This window comes from Homo sapiens, chromosome 4, assembly GCF_000001405.40.
Source record: "Homo sapiens chromosome 4, GRCh38.p14 Primary Assembly".
Taxonomy (NCBI): Eukaryota; Metazoa; Chordata; class Mammalia; order Primates; family Hominidae; genus Homo; species Homo sapiens.
The window spans coordinates 3,759,120-3,778,964 of NC_000004.12; the positions used below are offsets into that span (position 1 = coordinate 3,759,120).

Sequence of the window (19,845 nt, forward strand, 5' to 3'; positions counted from 1 at the left end):
CTGCTGGCCACGCGTCCTCCTTCCGCAGTGGCCTGAGACTCCGGGGCAAGTCTGCCCAGCCCAGGCCTGTACAAGCCACTGTGCCCACACCCCACACTCCATCCCGCCTGGATCTAGCAGGGCTGGCATTTTCATCTCCATCCGCGGGACTCCCGGGCTCCACCTCACACTCCCACAGTGCCCTCCAGGACTTGAGGGCCTGGAAAGACCGAGAAAGACCACTGAGTCCTGTCCCTGAATTCACAGGTGGTGAAGCAGAGGTTCAGACTTGCCCAAGATCACATAATGACTCAACAGCCGAGGCAGGGCTGCCAGCGGGCGTTCCTCGGGACTGTCTGGAATTGGACGGTGCAGTGGCCTCCACCACACGCATGCTTCCACTCATCCATCCCTCAAACACCCACGGGTGTTGCCTCCATCTACTGTGGCTGCGGTGAGAAATGATCACAAATGCCACCGCTTAGAACCACACCAAGCTTCCTCTTCCGGCCCTGGAGGTCGGAAGTCTGAAGTGGTCTGCAGGGCCGGTGCCTTCCGAAGGCTCCAGGCCAGAGTCTGTCTCTTGGCCTCTCCAGCTCCCAGAAGCACTGCATCCTGCAGCCAGGGGTCCCGTCTCCATGTCACTCCGACCTCCACTTCTGTCATCACACCTCCTCTTCTGGGGTCCTCTTGCCTCTTTCACTTACAAGGACCCTGATGACACTGGGTCCACAGGTGTCGTGGGGATCACCTCCCGCATGCAAGGTCCTCAGTCATGTCTGCAAAGTCCTTTTGGCATGCAAGGTTGCACAGGTGTGTGGGACGTCACTCTCCAAAGGAGGCAGAATTGAGCTGGGGACAACTCACGAGCTTGGGGGACAACTCATGGCTTGGACGCATTCAGCCGCAAGTTACAGAACCTTCCTCCCTAAAAGGGTAAAACAGTAAGTCCACTTAGTACGTCCTTCGGCAGGAGGAAGTCTGGACAAAGGGTAGGTCCCGGGTGGGTTCTTGGAGGCTCAAGAACAATGGCACAGGGGACACACCCTCTTTCCTTCCATGGTTTTCATCCTCATCCTCAGCTCCTCCTGGTCACATGACAGCTGCTGCTGCTCCGGGCATCACATCCTCACATGTGCCCAAGCAAGCAGGAAGGCAGGCAGTGGGCCTCCCGGCACCTTTCACCCTTGTCCTCAGGGAGGTATCATTGGCTGGAACGGGGTCAAGTGGCCTCCTTCCTGCAACCACCCAGCAACGGGCAGGCCCCAGGCTGAGAGCTCTGCAGACGTCATTCTGAGGAGTGTGCACAGCGGCCACCAAGGCTGGGAAAGGTCACAGAGGAAAACCCAGCCAGCTCGAACCCAGAGTCCAGGCAGCAGGCCTGCTGCCAGCCTACCCCGCTAGGCCCAGGCCCAGGATGGTGGAGCAGGAGGTGAGGTCTTCTGGGCCGCCCTGCCTTCGTCACCTCTACATCTCCAGGGCTGCACGCAGAGGATGCTTCCTGGTGTCTGCGGACTGCATGACAACTGAACCAGTGAAGGGCTGTGGGTTGAGGTTGGGCACTGGAGGGCCCTGAATGTCAGGCTCAGGCAGCTAGCGGGCAGGGCACAGCCCCTAGCAGGAGAAGCCAGGTGGAGACTGGAGCAGGTGCAGCGGGCAGGCAGAGGTGGGGCTCGGTGGCAACCGAGAGGGTCGGGGGAGGCGGGGATCTGAGCTTGGATCCCAGCAGGGCCAGGGCTGAGGTACACAGCTGGTGCTCAATAAGACATGCTGACCCACTGCTTTAATCTATTACACTCATTGCAAATCAAAGCCAGTCCCCGAAGCAGTTCTTTCTCCAGAGGGACTTCCGCCAGCTCTGTAAGAACTCGACTGTGCCAAACCCATCAATGCTGATCAATATGCAACAGCTCAGAGAGCCAGCCCAGGCCACGGCTCCCTGCCACATCCTGACAAGACAAATCAGCTTCTGGAATTCTTCAGGGAGGGGCAGGGAGAGAAGCAAGCCTCATTTTTCCCTGACTCGTCTTTAAAAATGAAATTTCAAATAAACATAGGGAAAGAAAGCTCAGCTCAGCTCCAGGGAGAAAACATGTCCTCTTGGTCTTGAGACAAGAAGATAGGGCTGGCTTCCCTTGGTTCCCGCACCCACCAGGGCTGAGTGGAGAGGGGTCTCTCCCCGAGTCCAGCCTCTTCCCTTTCCCCTGCGGACACCAACCGAGGGCAGAGATGGGCAGGCAGGCGCCACCCCCACCCCCAGGAGCTCACAGCCAAGTTGGGGGAGGGGGTCACTCAGGGCTGGCATGGGCCTCGGAATGCTCTGGTCCAATGCTCCCATTTTACAGACAGGGGAAACTGAGGCCCTGGAAGCCAGAAGGCTCCCCCACTGCCAGACAATAAGTAAGGGAATGAGCAGGAGCCTAAAGCCACATCTGATGACCCCAAACTCCATGGAACTGAGAAAAGGGCCTGTTGGCCAGGGGCACTGGGGCCTGGCACAAGCAGCCACCAGGTGAAGGCACCCCCTGCACTCAGCACCCAGCAAGCATCAGTGCGGCTAAGGAGGCTAGAGCCAGGCCCACAAGCCCATCTGCCCTTCACGGCACCCATCCTGCCACCAGGCCTTCATTCAGCTCTTTCTGTGAGCTGAGAGCCCAGCCCTGGACCAGGCAGTGGGGATGGGACACAGCTGAGATGTATGGTTACTGATGATGGCCATGCCCCATGGGGCATGCAGGAGGCCGGCAAAAGTGGCCCAGATCCAGCCCGGGAGGTCACGGGAGGCTTCCTGAAGGAGGAACATCATGGGACAAGTCTTGAAGGAAGCGAGCCCCAGGAAAGATGAGGCAGAGGGCATCCAGGCCTGCGGACAGCACATGGTCAGGCCCAGGGTCCACAAGAGTTAATGAGAAATGTCCTCACAGCTCACAGCGTGGAGAGGAGGGCTGACCGCAGGAGCCAGGTGGAGCTGTGCAGACCAGGCAGGCGAGGCAGAACCCAGCCGCAGCCCCGGAAGAGCTGGCTGCAGCAGCAACCCAGAAATACATCTTCTCCTCAGCCTAGGAGGGTGGGCAAGGCCACAGGTGCCGCATATGTGTGTACACATCCATATATGCGAAGCCATGTGTGCACATGCATGACTGGTGTCATGCATAGGGACAGATGTGTGCAGCACAGGCATACACACGTGTGTGCAATGTGCATGGATTCGTGTTATCTGCACAGGGAAGGCTGTGCGTGCCCGCAGTATGCACAGGTGTGTGCACAGCATGGGTGCATCATTTCTACATATGCCAGTGTGATACATATGCATGTGTAGACATACGTGTGCAAAAAGCACGTGTGTATGATAGTGCATATGTATATATGCACCTGCATGTGAAGAGTACACGGGCATGTGTATGCACACGCAGGCATGTGTGCATGTGTGGGAACATGTATGTGTGCATACATGTGTGTATATTCTGTAGGCATGGATGCACTGTAAATCCACATGGTATATGTAGACAGTGTGTGTGTGGATGTGTGCATGCATGTGTGTGTGAAGGCATGCAAGTGTGCATGAATAGGTTGCATGCTTGCATGCATGTGTGGATATGTGTATGTATGGGTGTTCATGCTTGCATGAACACACGTGTATTCATGATATGTATATTCATGTGTGTGCATGGATCTATGTGTGCACAAGGATGTGTGTGGATACATATATGTGTGTGGACACTGTACATCTGCGTATGTGCATGCATGCCTGCATGTGCAGGGAGGGGGCTCAAGGAGCCAAACTCCCCTCCACCCGAGCTGAGGCTGCTCACGAAGCCTAGAGCGCGGCATCCCAGGCAGGCACCCAGCTCTCTCCGGCACAGCAGCCAGGGCCCAATGTCCCATGGCTGTATGGCCCTGCTGGACCAACCCTGTCCTCCTAGGCCCCACGCATCATGGGTGAGATACAGGCAGGTTCGCCTCTGCAGCTCCAGGACGTGCCACTTCTAGGTTCTCAGTTCTAGGAAACACCTGTAGGTTTCCCCTCTGAAATATGCCCACTTCTGCCATGTACTCCCCTGCACACGTACACACAGACAGCCCCCACAACCCCCGCCAGTGCAGCCTGACTCCCCCAGCACCCTCCTTCCTCGCCCCTCCTGGTCGTGCCAGCTCGCGTCGTGCCTCGTCAGGACAGGAAGTCTTGCTGGGTACGTGCTGTTCTGCTTGTTACGGACAATCCGGAGCAGTTCCTCAAGCCTAATTTCAAGGTCTGGGGGAAGAGTCCTCTCCAGCTTCCTTGCAAACAGCTGCGGTCCCGGGCCCTCCCACCACAGGCAGGCCTGCGTGCAATGCAACCCCTATGCATGGCCCAGGGCTTCGCTCCTCCTAATGACTCCAGGCCCCAGCTTTTTGCCCTTGGCTCCATCCAGGCCCTGGAGTGGACCCTTCTGACCCCTCCCTGGTCATGCCAGGAGGTGTTGCCAGCAGCATGTCAGCCTGTTGGCTGCCATCCCCAAGGGCCTGGGCCGCTCACTGGCCAGGCACTCCAGATGCCCTCAGCCTGGCCTGTGAGTGGCCCCTGCCTTCAGCCCTCCTGGGCAGTGGGAGGCTCATCTGGCTCAGGGCCCCAGGTGCTCCGTGTCCTTTTCCCTCCAAATTCCCGTGCCTGGGCTGCCATCTCTTGGGAACATAGGAGCCAGGATCCTAGATAGATCCCCATGCCCCTGCGCATCCCCCAAAGCACTTCTCAAAAAGAGAGCCCTTCAGGATGGGGGTGGGAGGCACGCTGATGCCGAGGGAGAGAGACCTTCTCCAAAGCCTGCATCTGGCCCCTGCCACTGCTCTTTCCTAGTCCTCCTGTCTCCCCACGCCCCCAGTACAAAGCCCACTCCCACTGGAAGAAGGACAGCCTACAGAGGCCTCCCCCTTCCTCATAACACCTCCTCACTCTCTAAGCACAGTTTGGTCACCTCCTCCAGGAAGGCTTCCTTGACAACCCCGCTCCCAGGCTGGGGGAGGAGCCCCAGGGCACTGATGGTTGTCAGCGCATTCACCTCAGTGGGTGGCCCCATCCACCCACAGATGGTGAGCACCTCAACTGAGGCCAGGCCCCCCTCACTCTCTGCCATCGCAGAGGGCTCAATAGAGACAAGGGCTCCAGCGGGCCGACCATGAAGGAAGCAGGTGTGTGTGGGCTTCCCTGAAAAATGCACCTCCAGGTGCCCTGGACAGGTGGCACCTTTTAGGCAACCAGAACCAGGAGGGCCTTTAGTAAGGATGGTGACCCTCCACCATCCCCAGGTCACACACCTCCCACAGGACAGCCATGGCCTGTTGCCTCCCCGAAGGGCATATGTGCCCTAGACTAGCACAGGACTGGCACAGAAGGCTTTGGCTCCAACGTGCGCCCCTGCTTGGCAGGCCCATCATCTGAAATATTTGCTTTCTGCCGGGCCCTGGCTCGGCCTCCACACCCCCAATGCAGGCCCTGCTGGTGACAAACATGGTGAAGAACGAAGCCGTAGCTCCTGGCAGTGTCTCTGCGGAGACAGACATGCTCCCCAGTAGGGCTGAGCAGCAGAGAACACGACAGGCTCTGAGGCTAAAGCTGGCGCCCTTCAGGAGCTCAGAGAGAAGCTGCCCCAGGCCACGGGCATGGATAGGCATCCCGGGGGTAGGGCAGTCACTCCAGCCGCTCTTCATGATGACCTCCCGGGCACTCAGAAGCGCCCCTTCCCCGCCGGTTCTAGCCACAGGATGGACAGACCTTCCCTCCCTCTCTCCTGCGGGCCCATGCAGGGAGAGGCCAGCCAGCTGGGGTTCGTTTCTGGACGTTTGGGAGAAGGGTCGTCCCTTCGGTCCTAGCAGAGAAACGTCAGGCCTGAGAACTCCAGCTCTCCTCCTGGATCACCTCGTCCCTGGAAGTCCCTCTCCCACAGACCCCAGGCTGCCTGGAGGCAGAAGCCAGCACCCAACATGGGCCACAGAGTGGCAGTGCACGTGGCAGTGCACATCTGCAGAATGGAGGTGCGCGGACGGGGGCGAGGGTGCACGGGGGCTACCTCAACGGCCGCTCTCCCCTGAGCCCACCCTTGCAAAAAGCTCCATCATCCAGGCAGCTCCGTTCTGGGTGTTTGTCAGAGGTGGTGACTTTGAACACCTCTCCATCCTTTAAAAGCAGGGCCTGAGAGCCTAAGGATTAAACTTCAATCACTGCTAACATGGGTGCAGAGCTTGGGAGCTTGCCCAGGGCTTCCACAGACACCGCCGTTAGTTATGATTCATGCTCCAGCAGCGCTGGGAAGTGGGCCGAGGGAACTGAGGCCGGGGTGGGTGCGGAGGTGGCTCTGACGGGGAGCGCCGATCCAGGATCTGGTCCGGACCCTGAGCTCGGCAGGACCTGTGCGCACGCAGGTAGCGTCGCGTCCTCCCCCAGGCTGCGAGAGGTTGCTCTGCCATCAGGCCATGGACCCCGAGCCGCCCGTGCTGCGCGCGCGCGTGTGCGCGCCCCCGCCTGCGCCCATGCCTGCGCCGGGGGAGGCGAAGGAGGCTCCAGTCTTAGAAAGAGCAGCTTCTGGAACTCACCACCCAGGCCGGCCGCCGCTCGGCCCCGTCCCGCAGGCTGCAGGCGGCCCTGGAGGGGGCGCCCTCGCCGAGCGCGCGCCCCGCGCCGCCGCCCCGGACTCCTCCCCGGCGCCGCGCGGGCAGGTTCGACCAGGCGGCCGCGGGCTCCGGTTCCCGGCCAGCTCCCCAGGGCCCGCGGCCCGCCCCGCCCCGCGCGCCCGCCCCGCTGCGCAACTCGACCCAAGTTGGAAGCCGATCGCAGGCGGCCGCACTCGCGCCCAGCGCAGGGCGGCGGCGGCGGCGGCGGCGCAGCTCCGGCGAGCGAGGCGGCGGCCGCACGGCCAAGCGTGGACCGCGGGGGGCGCCCGCGCCCGGGAGCAGCCGGAGGACTCGCGGCGGCGCCGGCGCCCCGCCCGGGAAAGTAAAGTTGGAGACGGAGGGAGCGCGCGGGCGCGGGGGCCCGGAGGAGCGGCGGCCGGCGCCCCGGCGCGCCGAGCCCTAGCCGGCCGGATGGGAGGCGGAGCGCCCGGGCCGCCGCCGCCTGTCGCCTGCGCCCCGGCTGGGCTCCGGGACCGCGGGGCCGCTCAGGCACGCCCGCTCGGGCGCCGCGTCGCCGTGGGCTCGACGCCGGGGCGCTCCCCGTGAGCCGGGCCGAGGGCGGGGCCGCGCGAGGACCCCGGGACCTGCCCCCCTCCCCCCGCAGCCGCGTCGCCGCTCGCTCCGGGCGCCTCCTGCTCTGCACTTACACGCTCGGCAGCTGCGGGGAGCCCGGCAGCCACGCTCTCCGGCGCGCCGCCCGCGGAGCCACCACGGCCGAGGGCCGGCTGCTGGGCGCCGCGGTCCCCGGCGGGCGCGCCCGAGCAGCAGGCGGCGATGCGGGCGCCGACCCCGGCTGGGGGGCGCCCGAGCTGCCGCGGCTGCGCCCCGGCTCCAGGAGGGACGGCGTAGCTCGCGGGAGGACCATGGCGTCCCCGGCGCTGGCGGCGGCGCTGGCGGTGGCGGCAGCGGCGGGCCCCAATGCGAGCGGCGCGGGCGAGAGGGGCAGCGGCGGGGTTGCCAATGCCTCGGGGGCTTCCTGGGGGCCGCCGCGCGGCCAGTACTCGGCGGGCGCGGTGGCAGGGCTGGCTGCCGTGGTGGGCTTCCTCATCGTCTTCACCGTGGTGGGCAACGTGCTGGTGGTGATCGCCGTGCTGACCAGCCGGGCGCTGCGCGCGCCACAGAACCTCTTCCTGGTGTCGCTGGCCTCGGCCGACATCCTGGTGGCCACGCTGGTCATGCCCTTCTCGTTGGCCAACGAGCTCATGGCCTACTGGTACTTCGGGCAGGTGTGGTGCGGCGTGTACCTGGCGCTCGATGTGCTGTTTTGCACCTCGTCGATCGTGCATCTGTGTGCCATCAGCCTGGACCGCTACTGGTCGGTGACGCAGGCCGTCGAGTACAACCTGAAGCGCACACCACGCCGCGTCAAGGCCACCATCGTGGCCGTGTGGCTCATCTCGGCCGTCATCTCCTTCCCGCCGCTGGTCTCGCTCTACCGCCAGCCCGACGGCGCCGCCTACCCGCAGTGCGGCCTCAACGACGAGACCTGGTACATCCTGTCCTCCTGCATCGGCTCCTTCTTCGCGCCCTGCCTCATCATGGGCCTGGTCTACGCGCGCATCTACCGAGTGGCCAAGCTGCGCACGCGCACGCTCAGCGAGAAGCGCGCCCCCGTGGGCCCCGACGGTGCGTCCCCGACTACCGAAAACGGGCTGGGCGCGGCGGCAGGCGCAGGCGAGAACGGGCACTGCGCGCCCCCGCCCGCCGACGTGGAGCCGGACGAGAGCAGCGCAGCGGCCGAGAGGCGGCGGCGCCGGGGCGCGTTGCGGCGGGGCGGGCGGCGGCGAGCGGGCGCGGAGGGGGGCGCGGGCGGTGCGGACGGGCAGGGGGCGGGGCCGGGGGCGGCTGAGTCGGGGGCGCTGACCGCCTCCAGGTCCCCGGGGCCCGGTGGCCGCCTGTCGCGCGCCAGCTCGCGCTCCGTCGAGTTCTTCCTGTCGCGCCGGCGCCGGGCGCGCAGCAGCGTGTGCCGCCGCAAGGTGGCCCAGGCGCGCGAGAAGCGCTTCACCTTTGTGCTGGCTGTGGTCATGGGCGTGTTCGTGCTCTGCTGGTTCCCCTTCTTCTTCAGCTACAGCCTGTACGGCATCTGCCGCGAGGCCTGCCAGGTGCCCGGCCCGCTCTTCAAGTTCTTCTTCTGGATCGGCTACTGCAACAGCTCGCTCAACCCGGTCATCTACACGGTCTTCAACCAGGATTTCCGGCGATCCTTTAAGCACATCCTCTTCCGACGGAGGAGAAGGGGCTTCAGGCAGTGACTCGCACCCGTCTGGGAATCCTGGACAGCTCCGCGCTCGGGGCTGGGCAGAAGGGGCGGCCCGGACGGGGGAGCTTTCCCAGAGACCCGGGGATGGATTGGCCTCCAGGGCGCAGGGGAGGGTGCGGCAGGGCAGGAGCTTGGCAGAGAGATAGCCGGGCTCCAGGGAGTGGGGAGGAGAGAGGGGGAGACCCCTTTGCCTTCCCCCCTCAGCAAGGGGCTGCTTCTGGGGCTCCCTGCCTGGATCCAGCTCTGGGAGCCCTGCCGAGGTGTGGCTGTGAGGTCAGGGTTTTAGAGAGCAGTGGCAGAGGTAGCCCCCTAAATGGGCAAGCAAGGAGCCCCCCAAAGACACTACCACTCCCCATCCCCGTCTGACCAAGGGCTGACTTCTCCAGGACCTAGTCGGGGGGTGGCTGCCAGGGGGCAAGGAGAAAGCACCGACAATCTTTGATTACTGAAAGTATTTAAATGTTTGCCAAAAACAACAGCCAAAACAACCAAACTATTTTCTAAATAAACCTTTGTAATCTAATGTTGGGTGCCGCAGTCAGTCCTTGAGCTTGGGGGCTGGGGGTATCTTCCAGACCCTCACCCTGCCTGACACCCTCCCCCATCTCCCCCACCCCACAATGCTGGACGGAGGGCACCCTGGGCCTCCGGGTTACAACTTCCTTCTTGCATGAGAAGGAGGGGTCTTGCTTTTTCTCAAGCTAACCCTTTATGTACATGGAAAATATGTACTCAAAATTCCTGTGCTGAGAGTAGCGAAGAGGTGAAAGGAGCCTAGAACCCCCAAGTTGACCCCAAGTTTAGATTCTGGGGGACTGTCTTCCCTGCATTCCCATCCCTGCCCCCTGCCCTTCCCCACTCTGATATTCAGGGCCTCCGGTGGAAAGAGGTGGGGCTCTTCCAGTCCAAGACTGAGAGTAGCTTTGAGCTAGTCCTCCTGGCTCTGAACATTTTGTGGGCGTGGCTCTTGGGTGGAGAGAGGGTGGGCGTGAGGCCGGCAAGCCCCCACACCATCACTCTTAGGCCAGAGGCCTGGCCAGAGCCAGGTTGAACAACAGGCACTTTCTTATTTCCGAAACAAACTGAAAGTCATTGAGGCCCCAGAGCAGTGGAGTGGAACAAACCAGCAATGTCTGGAGAGGGGCCTGGGGCCGGCCTGTTTCCTGTGGTGCCCCCAGGGTCTTCCCAGTGCAGCCCTGCCTTTCCCCCTTGCTCCACCGTCAGGCCCAGCAGGTGTCCACACTGTTCACACTGCTGCTTGAGGAAGGGCAGTGGAAAGTGGGGGACAGAATACCAAGGTGGGCTTCCTGGTGCTGGGCCTTCATGGTGTAGGGACCACTCAGACTCAGCCGTGTCACAGGGCCTGGAAGTTGCCAGGATGGCTGGAGGGGAGGGGCAAAAGCGGGACCTGCGCCTGGCAGGAGCTGGGCAGGGGTCCCCCCAACACACACGCACAGACAGCTCGGTAGGCGTGTGGGGGCTGTGTCAGGCCTCCTGCTTGTGACCATCCATTCCCCATTCCCGTCCCCCTTCCCATCCCTGGGAGGCCCCCCTGGGCTTCCCTATGTGTACCCTCCCCTGCCAGACCCTGCCTGCTGAGCCCAGCCCAGATCCATCCTGGATACCCACCTCTCTCTTTGGCATGGGGGGCCAGGGTCTGCCTGGGGAGGGGTCAGCCCTGGGTCCTGTGTTCTTCTGCAAGCCCCCGTCCGCGAAGTCAGGTTCCAGAGCAGGGGGACCTGACTTGCCAGAGTTGGCCCTTGGAGAACCCCCTCGCCGCAGCTGCCTGGCTTCCACCCCAGATGATGGGTCTTCAGGATACCCCAGCTGGGAAGAGCTCTCCCAGCCGTGTCCACAGCTGGCACATGTGCTAATGCTCACACCTGCTGTGTGCTAGTCTCAGACACAGGTGGGGAGATACAGACAGCAGTGGGGGCAGGGGAGGGGTGGAGAACATGGCCAGTCAAGGCCGATGAGGACATCCCTGACCTCCCCCGACCAGGCCTGGGCAGGGAGTCCTGAACTGTTGGCCCAGCTTGTCCTGGAGCTGTTGTACTGGCTCAGACAAATCCCTGCTCTCTGGGCCTCGGTGCCCCACCTGGGAAGTGGAGGGGGTCCTGGGAGCCCTCTTGGGCCCTGCCAGGCCTGCCAATCTGTTGGGCAATCTATCCCCTGAGCCTGGGACCACAGGAGACCCCACCTCAGAGACTCCATGGCTGACATCGCACCCAGGGACACTCTGAGGGCAGGCCTTGGGCTGCGAGAGAATCACTGTACACACATGAAAAAGACTCCAGAGCTCAGGATTTCTGCTCCAGAATCTGCATCTTACCAAGCCGGCAGGAGGGGTCCAAAACTCACAACTGCAAGACGGGAGGGCAGACCCCCAACCCCTCACCTGCCAGCACTCAAGACCCCAAGTCCCGCCCAGGGCACCCTTCCCTTGAGAGCACCAGCATTTCATGGGATAACTCGTACATTTCATGGGACTCAGAGAGGTGGATTAACCTGCCTGAGGTCACACAGCTGGTGATAAGACCCAACAGGGCCCAGGTTTCCTGGCCCCAAATTCAACCAGATAACAAGTATTTCTTGAGTATCTCCACCATTTCCTACTGCCTCCTGGGAGGTCTTCAGGAATGGGCAACTTCCCACAGCTGAGGGCAGACCCCACGTGGAGGCACAGCATGATGAGCAAGGGTTTGGAGGTAGGAGGTGCAAGTGTGTTTTAGGAAATGGGGTGCCAGCATGGGGAGGGGGAGACAATGCAGACAGGAGGCTGGACAGAGGGGCCGTGTGCCAGGCTGCAGGGGAGAAGCTGGTGGGAGGGTGCTTGGACAGAGTGTCAGGTTTTGATCTGACCCCCTGGGGGCTGTGAGGTCTGCAGAGGAAATGCAACCTCCCAGGGCTGGAGCCTGCCCTGTCACCTGCTCAGCAGTGTGGCCGACTGAGCATGTCACCTCTGAACTGCAGATCCTCCTCCCTGCAAGGGGATAACCACAGCCCCCCCACACCCAGGGATCCTGGGAGATTAACTTCGAGGATACAGCAGGGCACGCAGCCTGGTACACGCTCGGGGAAGAATGTCAGCAAACCTTCCTCCTCTTCCCGTCCTGACCCTGCCAGTCACACCCTCCAGGGCTATGGCCGGGACTGCAGCCGGCAGATGTTCACCACTCGATCTTGGTTGCCGCCTGGAGAGACTTTCTTTTCAGCTGGATAAACAGAGACAGAAACCTGGCTTCTCACCCTGCCTGCTGCAGGGACACGTGTCACCTTGCTCTGAGTCCTGGTGTCTTCATCCATGAAGGGGGCACTGACACCCACCCCGAGGGTAAGATGAGCCCCGAGTGCCTCCAAACCCAGCCCAGGAACCACCCGCCAAGGGGACTTCTCAACGCCCAGAGCAGGGCCCTCCCCTCTGCCGACCTGTCCACCACGGCCCCTGACTTCCTGAGTGGCTCTCCTCTCCACGGACGAGGCCTGGGCCTGCCTCACTTCTTCATGCCGACTTCATGGATCCAGAGTGGCCTGATGTCAACCCCCATATGTGGTTGTGGAAACTGAGGCCTAGAGGTGACTGTGTGGCCAGGGACCCCTAGGGGTGAGGGGGCAGAGCAAACTGTGGACTCAGAAAGGTCCCTCTGCAGAGAGCCTGGGCTCTGATCTCACCCCGTCCCAAGCAAGCCACAGAGCAGCGTTTTCCACGACCGGTTTCCTGGGCAGAGCTCCCCGTTGGGCTCTTGGGAGATTTCAGGCAAAATAAAATAAAGCAGCCACTACCGACGGAGGAGGGCTTGCCCTGTGTGGAGGGTGCTGGCTCGAACGCCGTCCTGCTCAGGGTTCCTGTGTACCTGGCCCAAGCCTGTCACAGATGCAGCTCCTACCAGATATACATAGACATGCATATGTTTTCATTAACTCCTGTATTTTAATCCTATGGCTGTTGGTAGGAAAGGAGGGAAAAGAAAGAATCCAAATATTCCATTGCAGCTCAGTATGGAATTCAAAAGGAAATATTCCTTGGTGCAGGCAGCAATGTTAGTACTTTATAGAAGCAGCTCCAGGCTTTGGATCCTGCCCCCGACTCCGGGGGTGGGGGCTGGAGGGTGGGGGAAACACGTTGCCGTGGCACTTGCTGGCGAGGAAGCCGCCCTTCCCGGCTGTGCTGGCAGCCGGCTGTATTTTTCTATCACATCCATCGGCAGGGCTCAAATATTCCGTGCCGTGTCGGATCAAAACACACGGCGCCTGCAGGCCCATCTCGAGGCTGGTTGGACAGCCACGGCCCCTCCATGTCCCCACTCCCGTCAGCCCGTGGTGGCCCCCACGTGCAAGGGGTGGGGGAGGAGCAGCCCTGTGCGGAGGGCCCTGTGCGGAGTGCCACAGGTACCCCTTTATGCAGGTGCCTCCACCGTCCCTGGGCAGGCATGGGCAGCCTCCGCTACGTGCCAGGGGGGATCTGAGGGTCATGACATGGATGTGAGATGGGGGCTGACAAAGATAGGAGAGTCCCTAGAGCTGAGGAGCAGAGGAGGGAGATGCCTAAGACTCCAAGGCCCAGGGGAAGCTTTTCCATCTTGAGGTCCCCGTTGTCCTCCCACCGGGTTTCCCTTGAGTGGCCAGGGGACCTCTGGCCCCACTCCCGGGGGTCCGCACCCCCGTGACCCAGCAGGACCGTGGAGAGCATGGATTGCAGCAGGCAGTGGAGGAGGATGGGGAGACTGGGGATCTGACAGGCTCCCTGGGGCATGCCCTGCCTGACCACCAGTGTAAATAGGCTGCGGTGTCTCCTGCCAAGGCCAGGGCCTCTACTCCAGCAGGGCTCAGTGCCACCCCTCTGAAATCTGCCTGGGAAGCAGAGTCAACTGCAAACTCCGGGCCAAAAGAAAGCCCTGGGGACCGAAAATGCCCTTCCTTCCTGCCAAGAGGGTTTGTGGCTGCTCCTAGTAAAAGCCTTGGGTACAATGGTGTTGTGATGGTCCTGATAAGGAGTCAAACCATGCAAGGTAGAGGTGGGGCGCTGGCCCAGAAAGCTCAGTTAAAGACATTCTGCCCTTATGTCCGAGCACAAAACATGCCCAGAGCTGCCTGGCAGCCATGGAGAAAAGGGGAACAGGATACGAACTCCCTCCACCACCTGATGCATGGTTGACAGGAAGGTCTATAGACTAGGAGTTGGCAGCTAGACCCACCTAGAAGACCACCAGTCCCACAAGATCTCCACAATTCTGGAAACTCTGCCTCCAGAGGAGGGCTTTGGGGACTGCAGAGAACCCCAGCGGGACATTCATGCCAGATTCCCTATTGGGGTGGGGGAATTGTCCAATCCCCGTCCTGGCCTCCATCTCCAGCTGCACCAGACTGGGCCATTTATTATTCATTCCAGCAACACTCCCCACCAGGCCCTGGCTCTGCACTGGGGAGGCTGTGGGGGAGGACAGCCATGGGGCAGTGGCTCCCAGCCCGGTGTCCCAGACTGGCCTGTGGCTGTGCGGCCTACACTGGCCCAGCACAATCCCACCCTCCTAGGGCTCCCGGGCAGGTCACAATCGCTGCCAACTCCTCTGTCCTCACCTCCGTTCATCCCACTTCCTGCTCTGGCTTGGCCGTGCCCCACGCCTTTGTGAATTAATGCTTTGTCCCCCAGGAGTGCCCTTCCCGCCCTGTGTCACGTGACAGCTTCACACATGGCCTTCACGACTCAGACCAGGCCCCGTCTCCAGAGCGCCCGTGGAGCCTCCAACCCTGCCCTCCCCAGCCCCAGGTCCCAGAGGCTGGACTAGACACTGCCCCGCTCAGTGCATGGAGCCCAGCGGGGCACAGGGACAGTGAGTAATCCAGCCAGGCGGCAGCTGGGCAGAGCAGGCCTCCCCCGCGGTGTGGAGCCACCTGTCCTCTCCCATGTGGAAGTCCTAAAAGGATCATCTCTGGACTCCAAATCCAACAGCCACTCCTGCCGTCCTCACTGTGCCAGGACACGGGCCCCCCAGGCTGTCGGTGAGAAACTTCTTACAGCAAGAGGCCGGCGTGCTGGGAGCTGGGGGCTGGTGCTGCGGGGGACGATTTTCCACTTCACGTGCGGCCCGGCTGCTGCAGTGTCTGCTCTGCTCTTGTGGGGGGCGGGCTTTTTCCCCGGTTAATCAGCTCTTAACCGACTGCAGCATCGATGAAAACAGGCATTTCCATACCGCCTTTAGAAGCCTAACTCAACTGTTAGACTCCTTAGCGAGTGCTGGGGAAAGAGATACCCGAGGGGCCGTCTCATTCAATAGCCCCCTTCCCACTCTGCAGAGAGGCCCAGAGAGGGGTGGCTTCAAGCATAATAATGACAAAGAGCAGACATGACAGTGAACCCAGCAGTTAGTGTTCGATGTGTGCCCACCATGTGCCAGTCTTTGGGCCAGGTGCTCTGTGCATGTGCTTTTCATAATTCTGCCAGGCAGGATCGATGCACCCATTTTACAGATGAGAAAACTGAGCTCCAGAAAGGGGCTGCCATAGAGAGATGCTGTCTGAGAGCCAGACGCTGGAATGTGCTCCATACTCACCCCACCACAGGGGATCCCTCGGCGAGCCGTCACCGTCCACGATATTAGCTTCATTCTACAGATGAGAAAACCGGCTCAGAGTGTGCACGTGACTTCTCCAATTTGTCTTCTATCTTCCACATCCAGCGTCCACGCCACCTAACTTTGAGCTGTCGCTCTGCCTTTTCCATTGCAAACAATGCCTAGATTACACGTTGAGCCAATGGGATCAGACGGGGCTCAATGCTCACACTCCACCGGCATTGCTTCATTATTTTTGACATAACCCGTGCACTTAAACTTCAGCAGCTCCATAAAAACAGCAGAGCTGTGCCCCTTCACAATGGGAATAAGGCCTGGCTCTGTGTTTATTATGTCATCTTAGAAACAATTCAGAACAATGAGGCTGCTTTTAAAGATCACCCCACCCAGGACACACAATGCCAACATGTTTGTGGTGAAAAATCAGTTACCCGTTTCCTAGAGTGTGCTGCCATTGCAAACTGAATTTCAAGCAAAATCAGTCCGCTTCTAATTAGTCCAAATGAAACTGTTATTCAAAATTGATTGCTGTTGTTTCCGCCACTATTCAAATAGGAGGCAAACAATAGAGGGATTCTCTCCTCTCGATACCGTTCAGTAACCCACGGAGCCCGGCGGTCGCCAGTGCCACGGCTGGGGCTCCCTGCCAAGGTGGGGTTTGCTGAATGCAGGGGCGTAATTTGCAAATTGGGAATAAACAGACGATTGCTCATGTGCCGGGAGAGGGCAGGAGGGCTGTAGGAAGTTGATGGATGTCACCTGGGCCCGCTCAGGGCTGTCTGTTTCAGAGCCTCGTGACGAAGCCTCTTTGGGGACCCCCTTATGAGGGTGGGATGAGGAATGACTGTGGGTGACGCTTTTGTCACCTGGCACGGGGGTAGGTTTCTCAAGGTTGCTAAAGTTGGACATGCAGCCCCCAGGCTTTGGGGCCCCTGACTCAGGCTTGAAACCTCACTGAATCATGTGGCGCCCTGAGCCTGCGTCCTCTGGAGAATGGGCCGAAGCCCACCCCCCTGACCTCCCACAGCTTCTGTGCAGAGCCATGAGGACCCTGGAGACCCCAGGAACAAATGTCAAACACGCTCATTAAAGGGCTGGACTCTGCAGGGTGTTGGTTCTGGGCAGACCAGACCTAGTCTTAACCCCAAAAGCTCCAGCTGGCCTGGCACAGGCCCTCCAGATGAGTGGCCACTTGACCTTGGGGGCACGGGGAGGACGGCCCTGGCTGGAGGGGAGGGGCTCCCTGGACAACTGTGCATAGCCTGGGTGCTCAGGCCCTGTCCTAGGATGGGAAGAAATTCCTCCAGGCAGCCTGCTTCTGTCTCACCTCACTCCCAGGCCCTGCACAGAGGCCTGCACACAGCGGGCACTTAATAAATGTTGGAAGAATTTATGTGAATGTGTCAAAGGTACAGTTCTGCCCTCAAGGTGGCTCTGATCCGGTTGGGGAAGCAGGACAGCATCTTCAGAGCAGACGTAGCGGGGAGGGAGGCTCCGCACCTCCGTCTTCTCTTCCGTCAGATGCGGCTGATGATCCCAGGCTCCCAGGTCTGGGTCCTCTGGGAGATCCGTGCTTGTAACGGACACGCTTCTCGCCTCTTCCTTGGCTCTGTCCAAGGAGCAGGGGTGCCTCCAGCACCACAGGATGCCCCTGGTTCACTCAAAGCATCCCTCAGATTGCCACAGATACACAATGGCCACAGGACTCAGGGGACAACACAGTCACCCAGGAGCACTGGGCAGCCTGGCCAGCCTCCGCAATGCTGCATGCACCCTTCCTCTCCTGACCTGAGTCCCCCGACTGCTGGTCCCTTGACCACCCTTCCAGCCAGAGAGCTCCACCAGGACCCGGGGGTGTTTGCCCCGTCCACCTCCTCTGGCACCTACCGGGCAGGAGCTGGCTGCTGAGGCAAGGGCCCTTGGTCGCCTGGCCAGTCCTTGGTCACCCAGCTCTTGGGGTGGGATGAGGGCCCCTTCAACTCCATGAAGGTCTGTTCCCCAGGCTGACCCAGCCTCAGGTGATTCTCAGAGAACACCACCATGGCATCCAGGTGTTGACGCCCTGGCTTAGCCACTCAAGAGCAGGAAGAGGCTTCAGACACAGCGCTGAGAGTATGACCTGAGGTCAGGGAACGCGTGTGGCTGGATTGCTGCAGTGCAAGGCCAGGCGTTGTTACCCAGTGTCCTGCGTGCTCCCCACCACTGAGGGGCATCTCAAGGAACGACGTCCCTGCCCCTCAGCAGGGAGGCACCTGCTCCTGCCCACTCTTATTATCCCGGGCCAGGGAGGGCTCGGCCAGGCTGAGTGGCTTGGCTTGCCCGAGTCCCCAGGCTGCTCAGCGACCAAGCCAGACATCAGAATTAGAGCAGGCAGCCCGAGCCCCTCTCTGCGGTGCCTCCAGAGATGTGGGTTTCCCAAGCCCAAGAGTGGCTGAAGCGGCTTCCCAGGGAGTGTTCACCGCCTGAAAGGGTGGGTACTTTTGTGGTTTGTTCCCACCCTAAGTGGGAGCCCTGTGGGGTTGGGCCAGGTACACAGCATCTGCCATGGGCTTGTGACATGGCCATACTCAGAGGCCAAAGGCCCACTGGCTGCAGGAGCAGGGACGGAGGGCTGGCTTTGTGCAAAATGAAAGCTTGGAGCGCCGGCTGAGGGAGGCCAGTCTCCCCTGCCTATGGGCCTATTGCCCTGAGGTCCCCAGGGATGGAAACTCAATTCCCAAATGTGCTGGATGTCTGGATGGGGAGTGGGCTGAATGCCAACCCGTGCCAGGGGTGACCTCCACCCTGCCCTGCCCTGATGCCATGGGATGCCTGCTTGGTCTCACTGGGCCCCTCCAGGGGTGGTAGGTGACTGTTTGTAGGATGAGATCGGGGAGAGGAGACCAGGAAAAGTGTCCAGGGTAGGGAGTGGGCATGACAGCTGTCCTGGGGTTAGCCAGAGGGGAGATCACATGTGAGCCAAGGGTCTGGTCCCTTCATACATCCCTCAAAAAGCACAAGTTCAAAGCCAAGGTTGTTAAGAATTTCAAGAGGCAACTGGAGAGCACGAAACCCCAAGTGGGTGCCCTCTGAGCATGGCACCCTTCTAAGCACAGCGCTCCACGGGATCTCACTGACACACGGCTGACCACGAGACCGGCCCTCCTCCAAGCATTAACCGGGCTTCTCTCTAAAGGCAGAAGAAACTCCAGATTGGAAGATAATTCCCATGGGACTGTGTCCCCAACAACCCTCCCGGATCTGTGAGGTGTCAGCAGAGGCTCCTGCTTCTGCTATCTTTGGCTTTGCTCTCCGAGAGGAAGTTCGTTCATTCATTCATTCATTCATTCATTCATTCATTCATCCCTCCATCCATCCATTGGTTCATCCATCATCCATTTCATTTATTCAAGAAGCGTTTATTCAACATCAGCTGCGCGTGAGAACACTGAGAAAAACACAGAACCTCCATGATTTCCTGCAACGGTTTAAGCCCTTCTATAATTCTGTCATATAGCAAAAACCAATGCACATTTATAATCATTCCTCTAAAAAGCATATATCAAGTGCCCACAGCACACCGGCCACGAGGTTAGCAAGACAGAGACACCCCTGTCCTCATGACCTGTGCAGTCTTGTGATGGGGCAGGCAATAGACGATCACATAAGCAAGTACAAAATTGTAAACTGTAGCAGTTTTATACAAGGACCTGCCCTGTCTGGGTGGGGTGGGGTGGCGAAGGTGGGTTGGGGTGGGCAGCCACCTCCTGGCAGGTTATAGGGTCAGCTGCAGCAGCAGCAGCTGGGAGCGGGTGCTCTGGGGTTAGCCCCCACATGAGTCCGCTGGGGATGCCTTAGCGGAATACCCCAGCCTGTGCGGCTTCAACAACAGAAGCTTACCATCTCATAGCTCCGGAGGCTGGAAGTCCAAGATCAAGGTGTTGGCAGGGGCGGTTTCTCCTGAGGCTCCCTCCCGGCTTGCAGACACCATCTTCGCTCCGTCTTCACCTGGTCTTCCTTCTGTGTGTGTCTGTGTCCTCATCTCCCCTTCTTACCAGACACCAGTCAGACTGGATTAGGGCCCACCCATATGACCTCAGTTTACCTTAATTACCCCTTTAAAGAAGCTGTCTCCAAACACAGTCCCATTCTGAGGTCCTGAGGGTCAGGGCTTCTACATAGGAATTTGGGGAGGACACACCCTGGCCCATGACACCTCCTGAGTCCATTTCCCTCCCCACATGGGCCTGTGTGACGGGGGCACGTTCCCTCCTTCTTCTGCCTTGATTTCTCCAGCTGTAGCCCAAGGCCTGTAACAGCACCTGCTGTGTGGGGGGCAATTTTGAGAAGCCCATGGAAAGTCCTGGCAGGGTGCCTGGTGCTAGCCAGGTCAGGGAAGGCCCATTCCCC

At 60.5% G+C, this 19,845-nt stretch overlaps 1 protein-coding gene across 1 annotated transcript, besides 9 other annotated features; it reads left to right on the top strand.

Moving 5' to 3' along the window:
* Positions 803 to 1,336: an enhancer, noted in NCBI's record as "H3K27ac-H3K4me1 hESC enhancer chr4:3761649-3762182 (GRCh37/hg19 assembly coordinates)". NCBI's record gives its function as "activates a minimal SCP1, AML or CMV promoter by ChIP-STARR-seq in primed H9 embryonic stem cells {active_cell/tissue: H9 hESC(primed)}" and the evidence as "EXISTENCE:reporter gene assay evidence [ECO:0000049][PMID:30033119]".
* Positions 1,871 to 2,404: an enhancer, noted in NCBI's record as "H3K4me1 hESC enhancer chr4:3762717-3763250 (GRCh37/hg19 assembly coordinates)". NCBI's record gives its function as "activates a minimal SCP1, AML or CMV promoter by ChIP-STARR-seq in naive H9 embryonic stem cells {active_cell/tissue: H9 hESC(naive)}" and the evidence as "EXISTENCE:reporter gene assay evidence [ECO:0000049][PMID:30033119]".
* Positions 2,405 to 2,938: an enhancer, noted in NCBI's record as "H3K4me1 hESC enhancer chr4:3763251-3763784 (GRCh37/hg19 assembly coordinates)". NCBI's record gives its function as "activates a minimal SCP1, AML or CMV promoter by ChIP-STARR-seq in primed H9 embryonic stem cells {active_cell/tissue: H9 hESC(primed)}" and the evidence as "EXISTENCE:reporter gene assay evidence [ECO:0000049][PMID:30033119]".
* On the top strand, positions 7,266 to 9,407 carry ADRA2C (adrenoceptor alpha 2C). The gene has a single exon (NM_000683.4). The coding sequence runs from the start codon at positions 7,488 to 7,490 to the stop codon at positions 8,874 to 8,876; it is 1,389 nt and encodes a 462-aa protein (NP_000674.2). The 5' UTR covers positions 7,266 to 7,487; the 3' UTR covers positions 8,877 to 9,407.
* Positions 8,971 to 9,488: an enhancer, noted in NCBI's record as "H3K4me1 hESC enhancer chr4:3769817-3770334 (GRCh37/hg19 assembly coordinates)". NCBI's record gives its function as "activates a minimal SCP1, AML or CMV promoter by ChIP-STARR-seq in primed H9 embryonic stem cells {active_cell/tissue: H9 hESC(primed)}" and the evidence as "EXISTENCE:reporter gene assay evidence [ECO:0000049][PMID:30033119]".
* Positions 9,681 to 10,366: an enhancer, noted in NCBI's record as "H3K4me1 hESC enhancer chr4:3770527-3771212 (GRCh37/hg19 assembly coordinates)". NCBI's record gives its function as "activates a minimal SCP1, AML or CMV promoter by ChIP-STARR-seq in primed H9 embryonic stem cells {active_cell/tissue: H9 hESC(primed)}" and the evidence as "EXISTENCE:reporter gene assay evidence [ECO:0000049][PMID:30033119]".
* Positions 11,053 to 11,738: an enhancer, noted in NCBI's record as "H3K4me1 hESC enhancer chr4:3771899-3772584 (GRCh37/hg19 assembly coordinates)". NCBI's record gives its function as "activates a minimal SCP1, AML or CMV promoter by ChIP-STARR-seq in naive H9 embryonic stem cells {active_cell/tissue: H9 hESC(naive)}" and the evidence as "EXISTENCE:reporter gene assay evidence [ECO:0000049][PMID:30033119]".
* Positions 11,739 to 12,424: an enhancer, noted in NCBI's record as "H3K4me1 hESC enhancer chr4:3772585-3773270 (GRCh37/hg19 assembly coordinates)". NCBI's record gives its function as "activates a minimal SCP1, AML or CMV promoter by ChIP-STARR-seq in naive H9 embryonic stem cells {active_cell/tissue: H9 hESC(naive)}" and the evidence as "EXISTENCE:reporter gene assay evidence [ECO:0000049][PMID:30033119]".
* Positions 13,797 to 14,482: an enhancer, noted in NCBI's record as "H3K4me1 hESC enhancer chr4:3774643-3775328 (GRCh37/hg19 assembly coordinates)". NCBI's record gives its function as "activates a minimal SCP1, AML or CMV promoter by ChIP-STARR-seq in primed H9 embryonic stem cells {active_cell/tissue: H9 hESC(primed)}" and the evidence as "EXISTENCE:reporter gene assay evidence [ECO:0000049][PMID:30033119]".
* Positions 14,483 to 15,167: an enhancer, noted in NCBI's record as "H3K4me1 hESC enhancer chr4:3775329-3776013 (GRCh37/hg19 assembly coordinates)". NCBI's record gives its function as "activates a minimal SCP1, AML or CMV promoter by ChIP-STARR-seq in naive H9 embryonic stem cells {active_cell/tissue: H9 hESC(naive)}" and the evidence as "EXISTENCE:reporter gene assay evidence [ECO:0000049][PMID:30033119]".

Excerpts from the sequence above, each read along its gene's own strand:
- ADRA2C (NM_000683.4), top strand. The coding sequence starts at position 7,488 with ATGGCGTCCCCGGCGCTGGCGGCGGCGCTGGCGGTGGCGGCAGCGGCG.